Genomic DNA, 20132 nt, shown 5'->3' on the forward strand with positions numbered 1-20132 from the left:
CGCTGAGGAAGGACGCGCATCTGGTCTTTGTGGACTTCCCGGCTGTCCTTCCGCCTCCTGTTCCTGATGTGTTTGAAATCCCCAGCATTAACTGGGATTCCCTTCCATCACCGTGCAGCCTTGTTCAGTTCTGCTAGGGGATCAGTTCTTAGCACAAAATAACCCAGCCGTCCTCCACTGCAGCCTCTGGGGACCGGGGACACGGCAGTTTTATTTGTTGACTTCCAACTTCAGTCCTGAGCGGTGGGCTTTAGAACGAGCCTGGCTGTCTTTTATTCTTGTGTAGACTGGTTTTCCTCTAAGACCAGTGTCTCCCAGCCCTAGCAACTCCCTCCTCTGCTCCCGTGGAAAGCCTATGGCCCTGGGAGGGAACGCGTGTGACAAGGACAGAAACCCAGCGTCCAGCCGCAGTGTGTGCGGTCCCCTGACACAGAGATGTAGATTCAGTGACAGAGCCCAGGCCACTGAGCCATTTCCCTCTTTACTCCTGGGCTCGGGAGTAACATATTCAAGGGACCTCTAAACAGAAATATTGGTTAGTCTGTGGATTTGAAGCAAAACAGAGAAAGGGCTTGCCCAGATTCCTCCCCGTGCTTCACGGCAGGACCCAGAGTCCTCAGGCCCTTCTGGACCCCCGCCGGCTTCATTCCTAGACACTGAGCCATGGTCCCTGCCCTCTGGTTGCAGGGGTGACATGGGCATATAGAATGACAAACTCCAAAGCTGACTCAAGGCCACGTGGGGCTGAGTGTCCAATGGAAAAGGAACAGGAGGGTGGCCCGGGAGGTGGTGCAGAGCCCAGCGCTAGGGCCAGTGCACTGGGGTTTCAGCACCCGAATGGCTGCTTATCAGTGGTGACCTTGGGTATGTCCATTGTCGTCTTAGTGCCTCAGTTTCCCCAACTGAGAATGGTAGCTAATAATAGTACCTACAACGAGGATTCGATTAGTCCTTCCCAGAAAGCCCTAAGCAGAGTGCCTAGCTCACAGAAGCTGTTCCGATAAAGGCTAAACTGAAGAGCCTCCTTCCTTGACCTATATGGCTTCTATAAGTTCATGGGAATGAGCCCTCTCCTCTGGTTGGGCCGAGCAGAGGAGGCTCCATGGAGGAAGAAGGATCTAAACTGGGCCTTGGGAGATGGTTAGGGTTTTGTTAGGTGAGGAAGACAAGGGAGGGGGCTCTGGGAGGGAGAACTGCGAGAACAAGGCCTGGAGGCAGGGGAGGTGGAGGGGCCGCTTGCTTGGAGTTGGGGACTCAGTGCTGTTGGGTCGCCCACTCCTGATGGTCACCTTTCTGGGTGAGGAGCTGGTCTGGATGAATCCTGAGAATGAATCACGAAAGGATGCCATAGCTTCTTATGGAAACTCCACTGGCATGTGGGCATGGGAGCCAAGTTCATGTGCCGGAGAGAAGCCGCCAGGGCTGGCTGCGGCAGAGAGTTTATTTTGGACAAAAGTGAGGGACATCAAAAGCAAGCTCGAAGCAAGCAATGGCTGAAGGCAGGGAAGGAAGGTATTATCAAATGTCATCATGGGGACACCGTGACTGCCAAATGCCAGTCAGATCTGAGTCAACATTGGGATATTTTGGGGTCATTATAAAGACTCTGAAGGCTCAATGGTTTTTCTCGCCAGGACACAGTCCTTGCATCCTGCCTGAAGGCTTTCAGGTCATGCCCTTTGCTGAGCCCTCCTATGTGCCCACCTTAATGTCGCTGTGTCTGGAGACCCCCCATTGCTGGTTTGAGACAGCTCCCTCTTCCTTCTACCTGAGCAGTCCTCCTTCTGCAACCAAGATGAACACTCTCACCCACAGTTACAGCCTTCCCACAATGAGCGTATCCCCCATTGCTCCTGGGCTCCTCCACCAGCCTTAGGCCTCATCCCCTCTTGGGATCACTGATGGCTCCTTTTCAATGATAGGAAGAAAGCTGAATCCCTGTGAATATGGTCTATATGGCATTTAGCAGCTTCCTGGGAAAGAGGGGGTACAAGTGGTCAGGACTATTCCTGGATTGCAGCCTTGAAACTAAGGGACATAATTGCAGAATCTAATTTTTGGCTGAGATTTCTCTAAGTGCCATATTTAATGTGACACCACTCTGTGGGGGTTGCTCTCACCCTTGGTTGGTCAGAGGTATCTGGAATACCCAGAAGGTTCTCTTGAACTCCAGAGAGAAGCGAGGGCCTTCTTGGGGCAGATTGGACTTCTGGATTTGGGCCTGATGGAGACAGCACTTCCAGGGTCAGCAGATACAGGCATTCTGGAGTGGGCTGAGAAGCATCTTGCCCGCTTGCAAAGTGGCACCCATTTCCACGGGCTGACAGAGTCCTATGCGGCAGAGGGACGGTGTCCTAGCAAATGAACGAATTTTGGGTGAAACACAGTTCTTCACAAACTTTAAATGCAAGAAGTTAAAGACTGACCAGTTCAGATAGAATTGGCTTAAAGAAGCAGACTGGATACCCGGCTCAGAACCTGCAAGCATGAGGATGCAGCAGGGCTGGACCAGGTGAGCGTCTCTGCCCCCAACCCTTATGAGTCAATCTTTCAGGGCACAGCAAAGCCTTCATCAGTCTTGGTTTCTCTTGGGATTAAAAGTAAATTATGTAATGGATTTTGAGTATATGGTCTCTAGTGCCCTAATTTCTCTTGAAGGAGAGAAATTATCCAATAGGAAGGGAAATTGACAAAAAGCCTGCATTGACTCCATCAGTTAATCAACAGGGATATATCGGCAAGGTGATTAACTCTACTAGAAGACCACAGCTCTGGCCAATTCTATTTTAAATCCAAGTAAGGGTGGTAGAAAATGTATATTTTCAAGTCTGGCCTAACAGTTATATACATACACAGATTTCATAGATTGATGCAAAGAAAAGGTATCTGGGGAGAGGCAGTTTGTGTCATTTATTCATTTCTTGAAAAATTGAGTGTTTGCTGTGTCCAAGCCACCATTTTTAGCATTTTGGGACACACACTTTACACCCAGAGACACACACAGACACACACCCAGAGACACTCATACACACAGACATAGGCTAATACATACAGAGTCACACTCACACAGACACACCCAGAAACACTCATACACACACACACAGTCACACACACAGAGTGACACTCACACTGATACACACACAGACACAGTCACATACAGACATACACCCAGAAACACTCATACACACACACACACACACAGAGTCACACACACAGAGTCACACTCACACAGATACACAGACACACAGACACAGTCACATATAGACATACACCCAGAAACACTCATACATACACACACACACACACACACACACAGAGTCATATACAGTCACACTCAGACACACAGACAGGCACAGTTAAATACAGACACACACCCAGAGACACATACACACTCATAGACATACACTAATACACAGTCACTCACACACACACACACACCCAGAAACACTCATATACACACACACACACTGTTATACACAGAGTCACATACAGACACACAGACATACAGAGACATACATATACACACGTACACACTTATTCTCTGCCCTTCAGGAATTTTACATCTCTGTAAAAATTTTGACCTCTCAAGCAAATGCACAACAGCAATTTAAAACAATTTGGTTGTAGGGCAGAAAAGTGTGCTCCCTGTCTTTTGGGAGACTGGCCTGGGGAAGAAGATAATTGGGGCTAAGACCATCTATTAGCTTCTACTCCAGTGCATGTGTGGTGCTCATCAAGTGAAAAACCACCCCCTCCAGGCCCCGCCCCATGGTCCTACTGGATTATATAATGGACCTCAATAATTCCAAATGAGCTATTATACTCTGCCATATAATTATATATTTAGGACACATGTAGGGTTAAAAAAAGAAATCCACAGGAAAACACTGAAACAAATTGCAGAGCAATTTCAGTGACTGATTATATTTAAGCTGCAGTGTGTCAGCTGTTCTCATATTTTTTTTTCAGAGTTCCCAAATCCGTTAGACAATATTCTGAAGCTATCAAACACTGGTCTTTATTTTTGAATCAAAGTCATTTTAGAAACCACGTCCCTGATCTTTTCGAGACTCATAAAATATAAAAATGGCATCTCATTTTTTTTTTGGACAAGCTTTTTATCTTCTTTGTCCTCTTCAGATAATAAAAATACTAACAATAACAAATAAAAGCAGTTGTCATTTACCGAGCTCACGTTCTCTGCCAAGTACTGTGGTATGTATTTTATATCAACTCATTTTAGTTTTCACAGCAAACTTAGGAAGGAGCCATGAGTTGTATGAAGTTCCTGTGGTTGAGGAAGTTTAAATATCATGTTTAAAGACACACAACTCATAAATGATGAAGTTATTACTAGAACTGGGCTAATCTATTCTTATAAGTTTTAGCAAAATGACAGCTATAAATTTCCATTTCCCAGAGTATTTTCATATGTGTTGTCTCATTGATTTTTCACAGTCCTGAACATAGATCAAGGCTCAGTAGAGTGTGGTTGCGATTTTACAGAGGGAAACCCAAGGCTCAGAGAGGTCATGATTTACCCAAACACAGCTCACTTCCAATAGGGCTGCTGAGGCCGTGGCCACGCTCTGCACCAAACAAAGCCAGTGTGCAAATTGGGCCATTGGACCCAGCTCCAGTGCTCATTCACAATCCCACACTGAAAAAAGCAAGAGAACAGAACGAACGCACATGCAAAACCACCTATATGGCATCAAGGAGGTCTTTTTCCTCAAGTATGAGCTAGGCTTTTCCAGCCTGGCTGGAAAGCCTAGCAGAGAATGGGATTCTCTGCTAAGGTCAACAAGATGCGGCGCAGCCACTACCTACGAAGCTGCTTAGCACGCCCCACTGTGTGCCTGCCCAGGGGAGGACACGCAGCCCTAGGGGTCTGCTTATGATTTCTGCCCCTGCTTGTCTCTGCTGCTTGCAGCCAGCGCTGGCTGGACATGGAGAGCCAGCACCGAGTTCCATTGCTTCCATTTGGCACCAAGTGCCTGATGGAGCTGTCCACTCTCAACAAGAAAGGGGCCTGAGGTGTTGGGGCAGAATGAGGGTCCTCGCTTGAGCTCACCTTGACTCTTCTCACAGGCCAGGCCATGAAGGGAAGGGAAACGGAGCAAAGCCAAGAGACAGGGAAAAGTGTGGGGGATAACCTGGGGGCTGGAGGGCTGGTTGGGGGGTGCAAGGGGCGGTCGCGGTGAAATCTGGCCTTACGGGCACGGTGCTAGTGGGGAGAACGTTAAAGGAAGTCACTTTAATCTTCAGAATGAGCTCAGAGGTCCACAGGGTGGATATGGAACCCCTATTCATTCATTTAATATATGATTAGATGTCAGTGTTGTTGGAGTTACATTTTAGGAAATGACTATTCATAATGGAAGTCCTGGCACGGTTTCTTTCTAATCAGCAAAACGGGGTGGTGGGCTCAGCTGTGGCACCCTCGCAAGAGGCTCTTAATTTACGAGTGATGTTAAATTATGCTGGCTGCCAGATAGTCAGATACGGGAAGTGATACAATAAGTCATTGGGGATGTGCTAGTTCTTCTTTTTTCATTTGACAACCACAGGAAGTGGCCATTAGCCAAGCCATCTGAGAGAAAGCATCTGATTGCTCTGCTACGTGCACAGTATCTTGAGTAACTGCAAAAGCCTGAGAGGAAGGACTGCAGGGGGTGGGGATGAGAAGCAGGGTGAGGGGGAGGATAGAGATCTGGGGGTCAGGGCCCTCAGAAGCTAGCATCAGGACAGCTCATGTGGCTTGTTTTTCGCAGGCTCCCCAGGGACTATTCCAGGTTGGGCTAAGCCTAGTCAGGTTTGTCAAAGCCCTACAAAAATAGTTCATGTTATTTCTGTGGCAAATCATGCACAAAGAACTTATGAATAACTAATTTCTTACTTGGCTCTTTTCTAGAAAGGGTAATTCAATACAATGCGCTTTCCAGTCTGTCACAACTGCACGAGGGCAGAGGCAGATTGCAGGTGGGGCAGGACTTCGTAGCCAGGACAAACTTGACTGCAGAGGGTAGCCTGTTCCTCAACCTTCTGAAGCCCTGACTGAGACTTGAAACTGTAGAGAAATTAGCAGGATTCTGGGGAGAACAGAGTCTGGAGAGAACAGAATGGAGTGTGCATGTTTGAAGATGTATAGTTTCTAACAGCAATTTCAGTGCTTGTAGGCAATTTATAAATATTCGAGAAAGATGCTACCATACTTGGCTGAAAGGCTGACGGAGATGGTATTAGGTAACGGAAGTTACAGACAGTGGATGTATGAAGCTGATATTATAGGAGTCCCCTTTCCATCTGGGCAGTATGAACAGGTTGCAACTTACCCTCCTAGTTAGATCCTAGCCGTCTTAGCTTCCTTTTCTGGCATGGCCAGCCATTGCTTTCTGACCTCTTTGAAATAAATACTTTTATGCCCATAAAAAGAGTGTTTTTTTTTTGAATTAAGAAAAAAAGACTTTGATTGGATGGTTTCTAAGCTTTCTTGCACATCGGAGTCACTGGGTGATCTTGATAACATTCCAGTGCCTTTCTTTTCTTTTTTTTTTTTTTTTTTTTTTTTTGAGACAGAGTCTCGCTCTGTCGCCCAGGCTGGAGTGCAGTGGTGTGATCTTGGCTCACTGCAAGCCCCGCCTCCCGGGTTCACGCCATTCTCCTGCCTCAGCCTCTCCGAGTAGCTGGGACTACAGGCACCCACCACCATGCCTGGCTAATTTTTAGTATTTTTAGTAGAGATGGGGTTTCACTGTGGTCTCGATCTCCTGACCTCGTGATCCGCCCGCCTCGGCCTCCCAAAGTGCTGAGGTTACAAGCATGAGCCACCGTGCCCCGCTTTTCAGGGCTTTTCAAAGATCATTTTCTCCAACTCAATGTCCCTGCATTTTCCAGAGTTTGTTTGTTAGCATTGGGTAGCAGTCAGACTGGTTATTTTGCTGTAACAAACGACCGTGATATCTCATGTTGGAGGGGCAAGGAAGCACAAGCCCATCTTATTCCCAGAAGGAAAGCCAGAAATATTTGTAGGAAAGTGATAGCTATGCCACAGGGATTATTGATTTTGCATTCTAGATTCTTTTAGTTTGAGTAATTCCTTCCAGAATTTTTTGTCTTATAATTTTGAGAATTAAGATATTAATTTTGCTGCCTCAAAATGGAAATGCTTTCTGGAACCAGGAAGGCAATACCTCTGGTTTTCTTGGACACTTTTGTGACCATTTTCTTAGTTTTGATTACTTCAGCAGTTAGGATTTTTTTAAACAAACAAACAAATCAAAACAATAAATCCTACTGGTAGATCTGACATAGCTAGTGATTTTTGCACAAGGGCAAAGGAAATCAAAGAGCATAGAGCCTCTGTATGGTTTTGGGAGAAGGTAATCTTTCCTCTTGGACTTGCACCCTCCATCTTATTGGCCAGGGTTATGGGCCATGGCCACCTGGGTTGCAAAGAAGCCTCCCTTGCAGAGGAAGGGAAGGAGAAGGGAGAAATGTAAATGGCTTTGGTGGAACCAATGCACAGTGTGAACCCTCAGGAGTAGGCAAAACATGTGCTGTAAACTCCAAGTCTAGGCTTTGGGCTATTGTCCCTGATAGTTCAATAAAACTCTCTAGTTAATCCCTAATAAATTTGTGACTGGAATGGCCTGCAGGTTTTAAGCCATGAAAACAGTTAAATGACCTCACATTGCAGTGTGAGCATCCATTCGGTAACCTGGGTCACTCCTTACCGTTTACCCACACCTAGATTTTGGGTCATGGTGAGCTAAGCAGAGTTGGATAGAAATTGAATATCAAAATGGAAAATGTCTATACCAAAGTGATCCATCTGATGAAATTACAGTTCAGAGACATTTTATAATAGAGCTACAGAATATTGAGGCTGGATGGAAAATGTGCAATGGAGCAGTTACAGTTCGGCATCCTCTGCTGAAGTGAAGCAGAGAATTAAGACAATTACCTAGTACTTCAGGCAAGAAGAGGTAGTGCTTGTCTTTCTGAAAATAACCTTCCTGAGTCCTATAGCTTTCCCCAGGCCACCAAAGATAACATGAGGCTATCCCCATATTTCCCCTGGACTATTGAGTTCATTCTGGAGGAAAATGGCTCTCAGGAGTTAATGGCATTAAGATGTGGTCTGGGCTTTTGGCTGGTAGATCTTCAGTGAAAGCAGATGGCCACAATGGTATTAAAACTAAAGACTGCAGTAAAGCTTTTAATTGAAAACAATTGGACCCTGCTGGATGGTAATTACCTTGGCTGCTTGCAAATAATATCCTGCCCCTGATGCCATGAAAGAAAAGCTGAGACGGAGTAAACAGGATCTGCTTGATGTGCATCTAATAAGCATGGAAGTCCCCAAACTACTTTCTCTAGGGGTCCTCCAGTAAAAAGAGTTAGAAATGAAGAGGAGAGCTTGCTGTAGCACAAATTGTAAAGACAAAGCGTTCATTTAAAAAACAACCGAATGGGTCCATATTTACTTGGAGAAAATTGGAGTTCCATACCTTCAGGAAAAAAAAAAAAGATACTTTAAATGCTTCTTTCTTTTCTCAGTTAATGATAAACGCTAATGAGGAAGATGTCTCATTTGGATGAGTTCCTTGTAGATCTTTGTGCTGCGATGCCTGAGAAGTCACAGGCATTGGGCAGTCGAGGCTGAACTGTAAGGTTCATTTTCCTCTTCACTTAAAGTTTTAACCTCTCGAAGCTACGATGGTTCAAATAATATTTAAACGTGGACAGTAGCTATGCAGGAGGCAGTGACGTAATAAAGTTCCCAGGGACTCAGGCTGGAGGTTAGATGCGTGGGCAAAGTTTGACCACAGGCTCCTTTCTAAAGAGTCTTAGAAGGGAAGACTAGGGGCGGGGTGGGGTGGGAAAGGTCTTAGGAAGCCAGGGGCTGAGTGGCTCCCAGAAACCACGCCTGAGATCTGAGTGGGTTCACTGCACGGGGCTGTAGCACCGCTGCTCCTGCGTGGCCTCCAGGTGGTCCAGGGGACCCCACTCACCTGCCAGGTGGGAAAGCCTGGCCTTTTCCTGGATCCTGGCTAGCACTGGGATTTACACGCCTGCTCATCACGCACTGTCAGGAGGCTGCTTCCCTGAACAGCCTTATCTCAGCAGTAAGGGGCACCCACCTGCCCACCCACCCAGGCTTGCCACGGTAAGTCGCCTCCACCTCCCAGCGGCTCCGCTGAGGCTTAGGGCGGGCACCCGGGAGGATGCTGGCCCTGCCCCCATTGACGTCATGCCACCATGTGACTCACTCTGACCAATGAGAGGCAAGCGGAAGTGACGGTTATTCCTCCTGCGCGGGAGCTTTGGGGACGCACTTCTGGATGCCTAGGCCTCTTCCGTTTGCCTCTGGGACTGGCGATACTCGAGGTAATGGCTACTGGGGCCAAGTCGTGGGCGACCTGCAGTGCATGGGTAGAGTAAGGTGCCTCCGCCCAGTCTAAGCAGCCCTCCCCAGAGCTGGTGGGTTCCCAGGAGTGATGCCTGTTTGTCAGTGAGGCCCCGCGGGGATGAGGACGGAGCATTACGCAGCGCACTGCGCCCCCTTGAACTCTGCAGATGCCAGGGTGAGATGGGAGCACCGCGCCAGTCCCAAGGCAGTGCTGGGTGGGCAGTGTGGGGCCTGGGACGTCTACCTTCAGGCCCTCTGACTCTCGCTGGATTCGCTGTTCCGGGCAGTGCTGCAGCGCAAAGGCGCCAGGCCTGGCGTGGAACCCGAGCCTGCGCAGGGCCGCGTCTGCGTTCACAGGGAACGGTGACCCCATTGTGGCAAAACATCTAACTTAGCTACACATACACGGTAATCGTTTATGGAGCAATAATAAAGCACAGAACACAAAATCCACGCGAAAAAGAAAATGTGCATACACGATTTCTTTATAAAAAAGAAACACTGGCCGGGCGCGGTGGCTCACGCCTGTAATCCCAGCACTTTGGGAGCCCGAGGCGAGCGGATCACGAGGTCAGGAGATTGAGACCATCCTGGCTAACACGGTGAAACCCCTTCTCTGCTAAAAATACAAAAAAATTAGTCGGGTGTGGTAGCAGGTGCCTGTAATCCCAGCTACTCGGGAGGCTGACGCAGGAGAATCACTTGAATCCGGGAGGCGGAGGTTGCAGTGAGCCGAGATAGCGCCATTGCACACCAGCCTGGAAGACAGTGTGAGACTGTCTCAAAAACAAACAAACAAACAAACAAACAAACACCAATAAAAGAAAAACTCCCTTAATTATACTTTGGGAGCTGGGCTTGGCTATTTCCTTCCTAGAATATTCTCCTATGTTCTCGGCAGTCTAAGTTGTGTGCTGTTATGTTTGGTGGACATCACTTTGTACTCACTACATTTAATAGGGGCACAATTCGTTGGATTTCCCGAGGTCTGATTAGTGATGGTTTCTGAAGCAGCTAGTTGATGTTCAGTTCTGGAAAGTTCTCCCTTATAGAGCAGCGGGAATACTTTCTCAGATACCCTGTTGCCTTTAATGGCTCCACACATGATACCATTCTCTGTTAAGCAGCAGGTGAGCAGGAGGGGCGCTGTACAAGTCATCAAGGTCTCTCCTCCAAAAGGCAAGATTCTCTTGTAACCATCTAATATATGGTCTTGACAGTTCAAAGATAAGAGTTCCCTGGGGCCTGAGACAAGCCTCTTCCTTTGGGGAGGAGCCAAGTTTTAGGAAATCTGCCTTCACATTAAAACACAGTTTCTCCTAGCAGCTCTGACTCGTTGGTCTGTGGGTCCTTGTAGAATGTCTCATCCCTCTTTATGTGGTACCTGTTTGAATGTTTGAAGGCAGTGACCCTCGTCCTCTGAGTTATTTTCTTCACGCCTTTTTTGAGCATGGGGTTGTGGTCTTTCTGCAGCCTTAGTAGTATTCCACTGGGGACCAAAGGGAGCCCATGCTTTGAATACAATTTTTGAATCATTCTATTCGTCCTGTTTAGCCCTGAACATTTCAATTTTGGTGGCAGTGCCAGAATATGCGAATAAAGGACTATAATACACTCCTTGATACTGGATTTTGTTTGAGAAGGATGTAATGGAAAAGCAAGTTAGCTTGAAACATCCCATAATTTTTCATGGGTAGTTACAATAACTGCTTGCTGTTGGTATTGTGCTATATAATTGCACAGTGTAATTGCTTCTTGTAGTCCTATAGTATCTGTTCTATAGCATTCTATTTTATAGGTATTTTTAAGGTGCATTTTTTATCGATTTGGCATATACACAGCAATAAACTGCTGTGGAATTGATTAGATAGTAGAGTGAAGCTGAAACATTTAGTGCATTGATTCTTAATCTGTAAAGATGTTTATTTGCAGTTCGGCATATATTTATTACTATAGTGTAAGTAATGTTAACATTAAAAAGAGTATTTGGGGTGTGTATGCTTCTAATAATAAATTAGAAGTTCCATTGTGTGTTAGTCCATTCTCGTATTGCTATAAAGAATACTTGAGACTGGTTAATTTATAAAGGAAAGAGGTTTAATTGACTCACAGTCCTGCAGGCTGTACAGGAAGCACGATGCTGGCACCTGCTCTGCTTCTGGGGAGGCCTCAGGAAACTTTTATCATGGCGGAAGGCGAAGGGGGAGCAGGTGTATCACATGGCCAGAGCAGGAGGAAGAGCGAGGGTTGGGGAGGTGCCATACACTTTTAAACCACCAAATCTCATGAAAATTCACTCCCTATTGCAAGGACAACACCTAGAGGATGGTGCTAAACCATTCATGAGAAATCGTCCCCCACGATCCATTCACCTCCCATCACACGCCACCTCCAACTTTGGGGATTACATTTCACCAGGAGATTTGGGCAGGGACACAGATCCAAACTAGATCACACCATTAGCCCTTTCCAGATGGTTCCCAGCTTAATGTAGGCCAATAGTAGAAAACCAAGTGATGACTAGAAGATCTCCTAGGCAGGGATGTTGATACCTTGCATGTTTATACCTTTTCCATGCCTTGCACAGTGCTGTGACAGTGTAGGATCATGACTAATGTTAGTTGATTGAATGACTCTAGGGAGGTTATTGTTGAGTCTTCCAGAACTAGTACAGTCAAGTGGTGAATTTTCTTCACCTTTATTTTCCTTGAGCAAAAATGAAATGATTCCTGTTGCCTCTTTGAGAATGAGCATCCTACTATAAAAGAGCATTTGTAGGCTTTCTCACTGGGTCCTTGCTAAAGATTTCCTGCAGTTCTTTTTCGTGGTCTTCTTTAGTGTTTTACTAGTGTTTTCTAATGACTGCTATAATATATATATATATGAATATTGTCTGTCTTTAGACATTAGTTTATTTTGACTCATTCCTGGTCCTTCTTTCCATTTTGCTTCTATTGGTGACCAATGATAGTATGTAGTTAGAATACTGAATTTAATTTTGGGGACGGATGGCACAAGGAGACTGGTAAGATGGAATGGAGGCTTGTTCTTTGAAATGACATTAACCTTTCAGGGTGTCAGGGAACTATTTAGTGCATTGATCCTTCAGTTTTTGAATTGTTCTCATTTTCTGTTTCCACATTTTGATCTGGTGAGTAAAGATCAGAGTGAAGAGGGGGAAGATGGGATGTGATTGGAGATGGGAAAGATGGATGGAAAGATGGCATGGGGAAAGTAGATCTAGTCTCTCTGGGTCCTGGCAAGCTCACAGATAGATGTGGGCCTATATATGGCTGAGAGAGCCTGATTTAGTTTATCACTATTAGAGGTAGTTGACTGAGGTAGCCAGGAAACGTTATTCATAGCTCTCAGTAAAGTGAATAATTTACTCCCCTTCCCTCTGATAGAATGAAATCTGTAAAGCCTTTGGGACTCTTTGGGTAAAGTGCTCTACAAACGTGTCAGATGAGTTTTGGTTTTATTACAGAGAAGCCTGGGATGGAAAATGGGAGTTAAGTTAAACATAAGGATTTGTTTCCTGAGGGAGCCTCTTTTAACATAATTATTTTTTAAAAAAACAAATACGTGATAAAAGAGTTGAAATCATCTACATATTATAAATTTGGTATAGTTATATTTTGAATGCAGGTGCAACTCATTTTTTGGTAAATAATTAATATTGTATCTGTAGACTTGCAAAATCCCATATTATCACTTGAATGCAATGATTCTTACGCATGGTCTCTTGCTGAACCTGTAGTTACTGGGTCTTACAGGTGTGCACAGCAGGCACACTGTACCAGTCACTGAGCTTTACTGGAAAATGGAAAAGCAAGTGGTGTGCATGTGTGAGTGAGTATGAGTGTGACTGCTACGGGAGGAAGGAGAAGTAAGGGCAGTGGTGGAGAGGGAGCAAAGGGAAAAAGAGAAAGAATTGGGATTCTTTAGAGGAACTGTCTCCAAGTTCTCCATTTCTTCCTTAAGCTGAGGTGCTCAAATTGAACATGGTGTTAAGAGTATGACCATTGTTATTGGCAACAGTGACTCATATTGAGGTGCCCATGTATTGTTGAATGGATGGGAACATGATGAGGAGCTAACAAAGCACTTTGTACTCTTTGAAGAATGGCATTATGTTAATGTCATCCAAAATAGAAGTGATATTCAAAAGAAGGAAATGAGAAAAGGCAAAATGATATTTAATAATAGGAGATGGCTTTGAATGAGTTTAGCATTGTGGCCTGGTAGCATAATTTTAAGTAGGTCAGTAAGATTTCTTTTCTTTCTTTTTTCAAAATTGCTGTTTTCTTATAGTTGCTACAATTGATTGTTAGTGTAATTGACCAAAAGGTATTCTTGGACACTGCATCAGAGTCATAACTTTAGAGGTCAGGTCTGGTCAAGTGAAGGAAACATTTGAACTAAATCATGTGTTATAATATACATAATGTATAATCATATATAATATTTATATATATAAATTCATATTTTGTGTATGACATATTATGTATACATATTATATGTATACATGTTATGTTACATATTCATACATAATACATAATTAATATATACATATATAATCATAAGGCTGGGCATAACAGGTGACACCAGCTGCAGGCCATTCATCCACCTGTCAGCCACCTCCCCAGGAATGATCCACTAGCACAATTATTGCTTCCTGTTCCCATGACATTATGTTCTGCTGGCCTAGAGGTCTTAGTTCAAGAGGGAGGAATGCTGTCACCAGGAAACACAACAATGATTCCATTAAATTGGAAGTTAAGATTGCGACCTGGCCACTTGGGGCTCCTCCTACTTCTAAATCAACAGTATGGAAGGGAGTTATAGTGTTGGTTGGGGTGATTGACCTAGACTATCAAAATGAAATCAGACTAATACTCCACAGTGGAGGTAAGGAAGAGTATGTGTGGAATACAGGAGATCCCTTAGGGCATCTCTTAGTATTACCATGCCCTGTAATTAAGGTCATGGGAAACCACAACAACCCAATCCAGGGAGGAGGACTACAGATGGCCCAGAGCCTTCAGGAATGAAGGTTTGGGTCACTCTAACAGGTAAAAAAAACCACGACCTGCTGAGGTGCTTGCTGAAGGCATAGGGAATACAGAATGGGTAGTAGAAGAAGGTAGTCATCAATACCAGCTACAATCATGTGACCAGTTGCAGAAACGAGGATTGTAATTGTCATGAGTATTTCCTCCTTATTTTGTTTAGAACATGTTTGTGCATGTATAGACTTGTACTAAGAAAATCTTTTATTTCCTTTATCATGTGACATAAGATTTATTGACTTCATATCAGCATTTAAGTGTTGTTAACTTTATGTAATAGCATTTAGGTTAAGGATTAGTATGCTTCTGGTTGTATGAAGTGTATCTGTATTATTAGGTGTAATTATGATCTTATTATTGTCTTTCTTTGAAGATTATGTATGGTTTCAGGAGATGTGTATGGGTTCAAGTTGACAAGGGGTGGACTTGTGATGATTAATATTGAGTGTCAACCTGATTGGATTGAAGGATGCAAAGTATTGTTCCTGGGCGTGTCTGTGAGGGTGTTGCCAAAGGAGATTAGCATTTGAATCAGTGGACTGGGAGAGGCAGACCCACCCCCAAGCTGAGTGGGCATCATCTATTCAGCTGCCAGTGTGGCTAGAATATAAGCAGGCAGAAGGAAGGTGGAAGGAGCTGACTTGCTGAGTCTTCTGGCCTTCATCTTTATCCTGTGCTGGATGCTTCCTGCCCTCGAACATCAGACTCCAACTTTTTCAGCTTTTGGACTCTTGGACTTACGCCAGTGGTTTGCCAGGGGCTCTTGGGCCTCGGGCCATGGGCCATAGACTGAAGGCTGCCCTGTTGGCTTCCCTACTTTTGAGGTTTTGGGACTCGGACTGGCTTCCTTACTCTGCAGCTTGCAGACGGTCTACTGTGGGACTTCACCTTGTGATCCTGTGAGTTAACACTCCCTAATAAACTCCCTTTCATACATATGTGAATCCTATTAGTTCTTTCCCTCTAGAGAACCCTCACTAATACACCAGGGTAATGGAACACTTAGACCACTTTCTTTGGAAGTAATAGTTACTATCAAGAAGTTTATTTTATTTACTTGTAAAACCTACAAAGTTGAGTGGCAACAAAGCGATTGATAATTTTTGGAAAACACTGTGAACACAGCCCGCTGTCCCATAATTACTCCATGTTCCATCTCATGAGGAAACCAGGCTCTGGGATATTCATCTGGTTTTGATCTTAGGGGTTACACACACAGCTCCATAAGATTATATGTGTGGTGAATGGAGATTCGGATTCCATTAAATAGATTGGGAATTATTGGACAAATTCTCCACTTAGGCTTCTGAATTCCAGATGGATAACATATTCAGGTGCTTAGTGGATGCTTGGCTATGAATGACTAATCCAGATTGCTGGTTTATCAGCTTTGCATGGTAGCTTTGGTTTAATGCAGGGCAAGAAAACCCATAGTTTGTTCTGACATGCTGAAGAACGGTTTGCTGTTGAACCAGGTTTCCTCTTATCCTTGATGATTTTCAGAAGAGAAAGCCTGTGAATCTTTGCTTGGGTAGTTCGTTTGAAACAGGTCATTATTCTTTTCATTAAGCACAGACAGGTAAGAATGGTTTCCTGAAACATCTGGTTTGCAGCATTGGCCTCAGGCTCCTACATTCATGGTCATAATAAAATCAGGCTAAATAACCACCTCTGCAGTCATGCTAGAGAAAGGGTTTTGCAGAAAAACAAGTAATGTAGCAAAATAGTGACAAATCAGTAACAAAAGACCAACCTGACTATTGTTGCCTGGCTAATGGGATAAGGTGATTGTGATTGTCATTTCGTCATAGTCAAGAACTGTCGCTCATTCATTTTCATATACACAACACTTTGAACAGTAGTTGATATGTTGTTGTTAGTAGAAAGATGTTTGTTGAGTGAATAACTCAAAAAAAAACAGAGGTATAGCAGTAGCAGCAGCATTCTCTGAGAGACTGACTGCTCATTTAAATATTACAATACAGTATTAGCCATACACCTAATATGGAAAAGTATGCAGGGGTTCCTTGCTATTTTGCCACATAAAGATGGTAGTGGGCAGAATTCTACGATGACCCCCCAATGACCTATGCACTTGTATAATCCCCTCCTCTTGGGTTTGGGTGGGACCTTTAACTTGCTTCTAACTAATAAAATATGGTAAAGGTAAAGGGATTTTGTAGAGTAGTTAAGGTCCTTAATCAGTTGACTTTATAATAATTGAAAGGAAGATTATCCTGTGTGGACCTTAATTTGAGAGCCCTTTGGGTTCCAGTACCAGAGCAACTAGCAGCCCTGTCCTAGCAGGGAACAAAGGGAGCTGGATGTGGGTGTTTTCGGTGTGCCTTTCATGGGACACTTCTGAAACCTGGTGGATGGCCTAATGCCTAGTTGTCTGACCCATGACCAGGGGGTTCCTTACATGGGAAACTTGTTTGTATTGGCAGACACCCTTGTGGCTCTGTGTGAGCTGTGTCCAGTTTATGATTACCTCAATCCACCACCACAATAGGAAACAAGCTAAAAGATTTTTACTTACAGATCTTGGGCAAGGAGGGTGTGATGATGTGGGTGGGCAGTCCTCTATCCTAAAGTCAGGCAAGGCAGGAATGAAGAGTTGGGCAGAGAGAGGGTGTGTGTGGCAACTAGCAGTATATATAAGGGAATAGGCTGTGGGCCCTCCAAGTTCGGGGGCAAATGCCGGAATCAATGGTCCCCTTAAAGGAAGTGGCAGGAAAGGGGGACCCAGTCTAATAGGCAGGAGAGATGCCTCTAAGTTCTCATCTCTGGCCACCAGCTTGAGCCATGTAGGTGTGGTGTCAGACTGGAAACTGCCAGGGGTCACTGAGCCCTGCTTCTGCAGGAGAAAGTTAAACTTGCATTCAGAATGGATGCTGAGGCAACACAAAATTATAAGAATGCATTATAGGTCTGACCGAACCAGGTGAGCATTCTGAAAGAAACTCTAGGGGTCAGAAAGCTGAAGAAATCAGCTAGCCTCGAAGAAATGAGCTGACCTGAGTTATACAGCTGCGATGTAATGGATTCAGCCAACAACCCTGTGAACATGCCCAAGAACCCAGCCTCAGAGGAGCCCCCAGCCCTGGCTAACACTCTTGATTCCAGCCTTGTGAGATCCTGAGCAGAGAACTCACTAAGTCATGCCTGGAAACCTGCCCATAGAAACCACGAGATAAGAAGTGTGTGTTGTTTTCAGCCACTCAATTTGAGATACTTTGTTACATGGAGATGGAAAACGAATACACAGGGCATCTGCAGATATTTATGGCATGCCTTGTCTCTGTTTTATCAAAGTGCTGTGTATTTAGTGTGTGAGACATAGATAGCAGCGAATGCTAGTTATGCCCTGCAACCTGTGTTTCCATTCATGTTAAAGTATCATCCTGTATGTGGCATCTTGAACCAAATGAAGATTTTGGGAAGAGGTTTTGCTTTCCCTTTTTTGGATGTTGTGGGTCACCAGGCAACTTCATTGATCACGTCAGACATCAGTGGATCAACTGGCACATGCAGCAGTCTTAAGACAGTTCCATAAAAGTTCTGTCAGCTTTTTACAAAATGTCACTTGTGATAAAATGTTGACAGTTCTTTGTATGTATTAGCTGCACTTTCAGTATTGTTCTGGCTGATAATAATGATGGTTAGCTTAAAGGAGCACTCTTCAGCATCATGGGTTATGCCAACCAACCAACCAACCTTCCTTCCTCCCTCCCTCCCTTTCCTTCCTTCCTTCCTTCCTTCCTTCCTTCCTTCCTATTTATTTATTTATAAATAAAAGATTAACTCTTGCTCTGTTTCCAAGGCTGGAGTGCAGTCGTAGCTCACTTCAGCTTTCAACACCTGGTTTCAAGCAGTCCTCTCGCCCTAGCCTTCTGAGTAACTGGGACTACAGGTGAGAGCCACTGTGCCCAGCTGGTTATATCAACTTTTAATGCAACATTTGTCTTCAGCTTGATACTTTTCAGTTTGTTGTATTTTCTAGTTTGGACCTGAGATTATTATGGACATGGCTCTCGTGGCTTCTTCTAGATCATCATAGGCAATGTGAAAGGAACTAGGGAAGTTATTTGAGTTATTTAGTCCTTAACATTATCTATGTAATCAAAAGTGAGCTTTTGTTTGAGAGGTAGGAAAAAACAAGTAAAAGAAAAAAGAAGATAGTGGATTAAGGCAGAATATGACTTGCACTAATGGGCAACTAGTCTTATTTGACAGAAAATGGAGTTTAAACACATTTTTCTATCCTGATTCTTATGAAGTCTGAGAAGAGCTCTCTTCTAGTTTTAGATATTTTTAGTGTGTTTGCTTGTAGGAGGCAATCACAACTCAATGGAAATAAGTGGTGACGGATGCTTCAGGAGAGGGATTTGTGTGTAGATTGGCTCTCTGGACCTGCCCCTCCTCCATTGAGAGAGACAAGTTGGGTAGTTTGCACCAATTAGATACACTGATGTGAAATTTGGAAGGCATTAGTGAAGCAGAGACAATCTTCTTGCCCTCTTTTGGCTGTTTGGATTTTTTTGTATAGAGTGTTCTGCATTTGTGCTCAGGCTTCTGGGTTACAAGAGGGTGTTGTGATTTTGGCTCTGGTATCAGCTTCCTAGTCCTTTGATGGCAGCTCCTGGAATGTCTTCTTGAGCTTGCAGCTCTAGTGGTGGCTTCAGAAGAAGGAACTTCCCCTTGAGGGTAGTTCTAAGTTGTTACCAGAGTCATATTTGTAAGTCCAACCTGGAAAGGTTCTTGCAGAACCTCCAGCAAGTTTTAGGCCCCTCATTCCATGTATTCAGTGCTTTACAGTTTAAAACACCTTGAGTAGCTTGCCCTGAATCCTGAATCTTGATGCGTATGTGTAGTTTAGCGTATGCACTGAATATTTTTTATTTATGTATCCTCTTTTATTGATCAATCTTGCAAAAGGATTATCCATGTTTTAAGTCTTGTAAAAATCCAGTCTTTGGTTTTGTTAATTTCTTTTTTTTGTGTGTCTTTGTTTTCTATTTCATCATTTTCTGTTATACTTTCAGTATAAACTGTTTCATTATTTCTGTTTCATCATTTTGTGTTCATACTTCTAAATTTTTTAAAGTTTTATTTTGTTGTTATATAACTATTTAAGTTTTATACTTGGTTCATTAACTTTAAGCCATTTAAAAACTTTTTTTCTAAAATAAGCACTCAAGCCTATACATTTCTCTTTGAGGATGGTATAGATACAACATGGGAGTTTTGGTTTGTGGTATATTTATTATTGTTTAGTCCAGAGCATTTTAAAATACCAGTTACGGTTTATTCTTTGAACCAAGAGCTATTTAACAGGGTGTTTTTAACTTTATACGTTGGTGGGGGTGTAAAAATTCTTTTTCTTTTTGATTTTTAACTTGCACTGGGTCAGAGAATGTGGTTTGTACTATAGTGATTTTTAGAAATGTGTTGAAGTTTTGTTTATGGCCAGAAATATTTTTATAAATGTTCGTGTGTTCTTGAAAATACTTCTGTAGCTTTAGGAAGCAAATCAGCATAGTTATTTATATTATTAAAATATTCTATATTTTTCATATTTTTTATTGCTTGGTCTACCAATTATTTAGAGAGGAATGTTACTGTTTCCCTCTATATTGGTAGAT

General features: G+C 43.8%; 1 long non-coding RNA gene across 1 annotated transcript; it reads right to left on the reverse strand.

The window, feature by feature from the left end:
- Positions 1-2062: 2062 nt before the first annotated feature.
- LOC102724152 (uncharacterized) lies at positions 2063-9181 on the reverse strand. Its single transcript, NR_134620.1, has 2 exons — positions 9018-9181; positions 2063-2354 (listed from the first exon to the last, which is right to left on the reverse strand). It is a non-coding gene; the product is annotated as an uncharacterized LOC102724152 (long non-coding RNA).
- Positions 9182-20132: the final 10951 nt, after the last annotated feature.

The sequence above is a fragment of the Homo sapiens genome, chromosome 6 (assembly GCF_000001405.40).
Source record: "Homo sapiens chromosome 6, GRCh38.p14 Primary Assembly".
Lineage (NCBI taxonomy): Eukaryota > Metazoa > Chordata > Mammalia > Primates > Hominidae > Homo > Homo sapiens.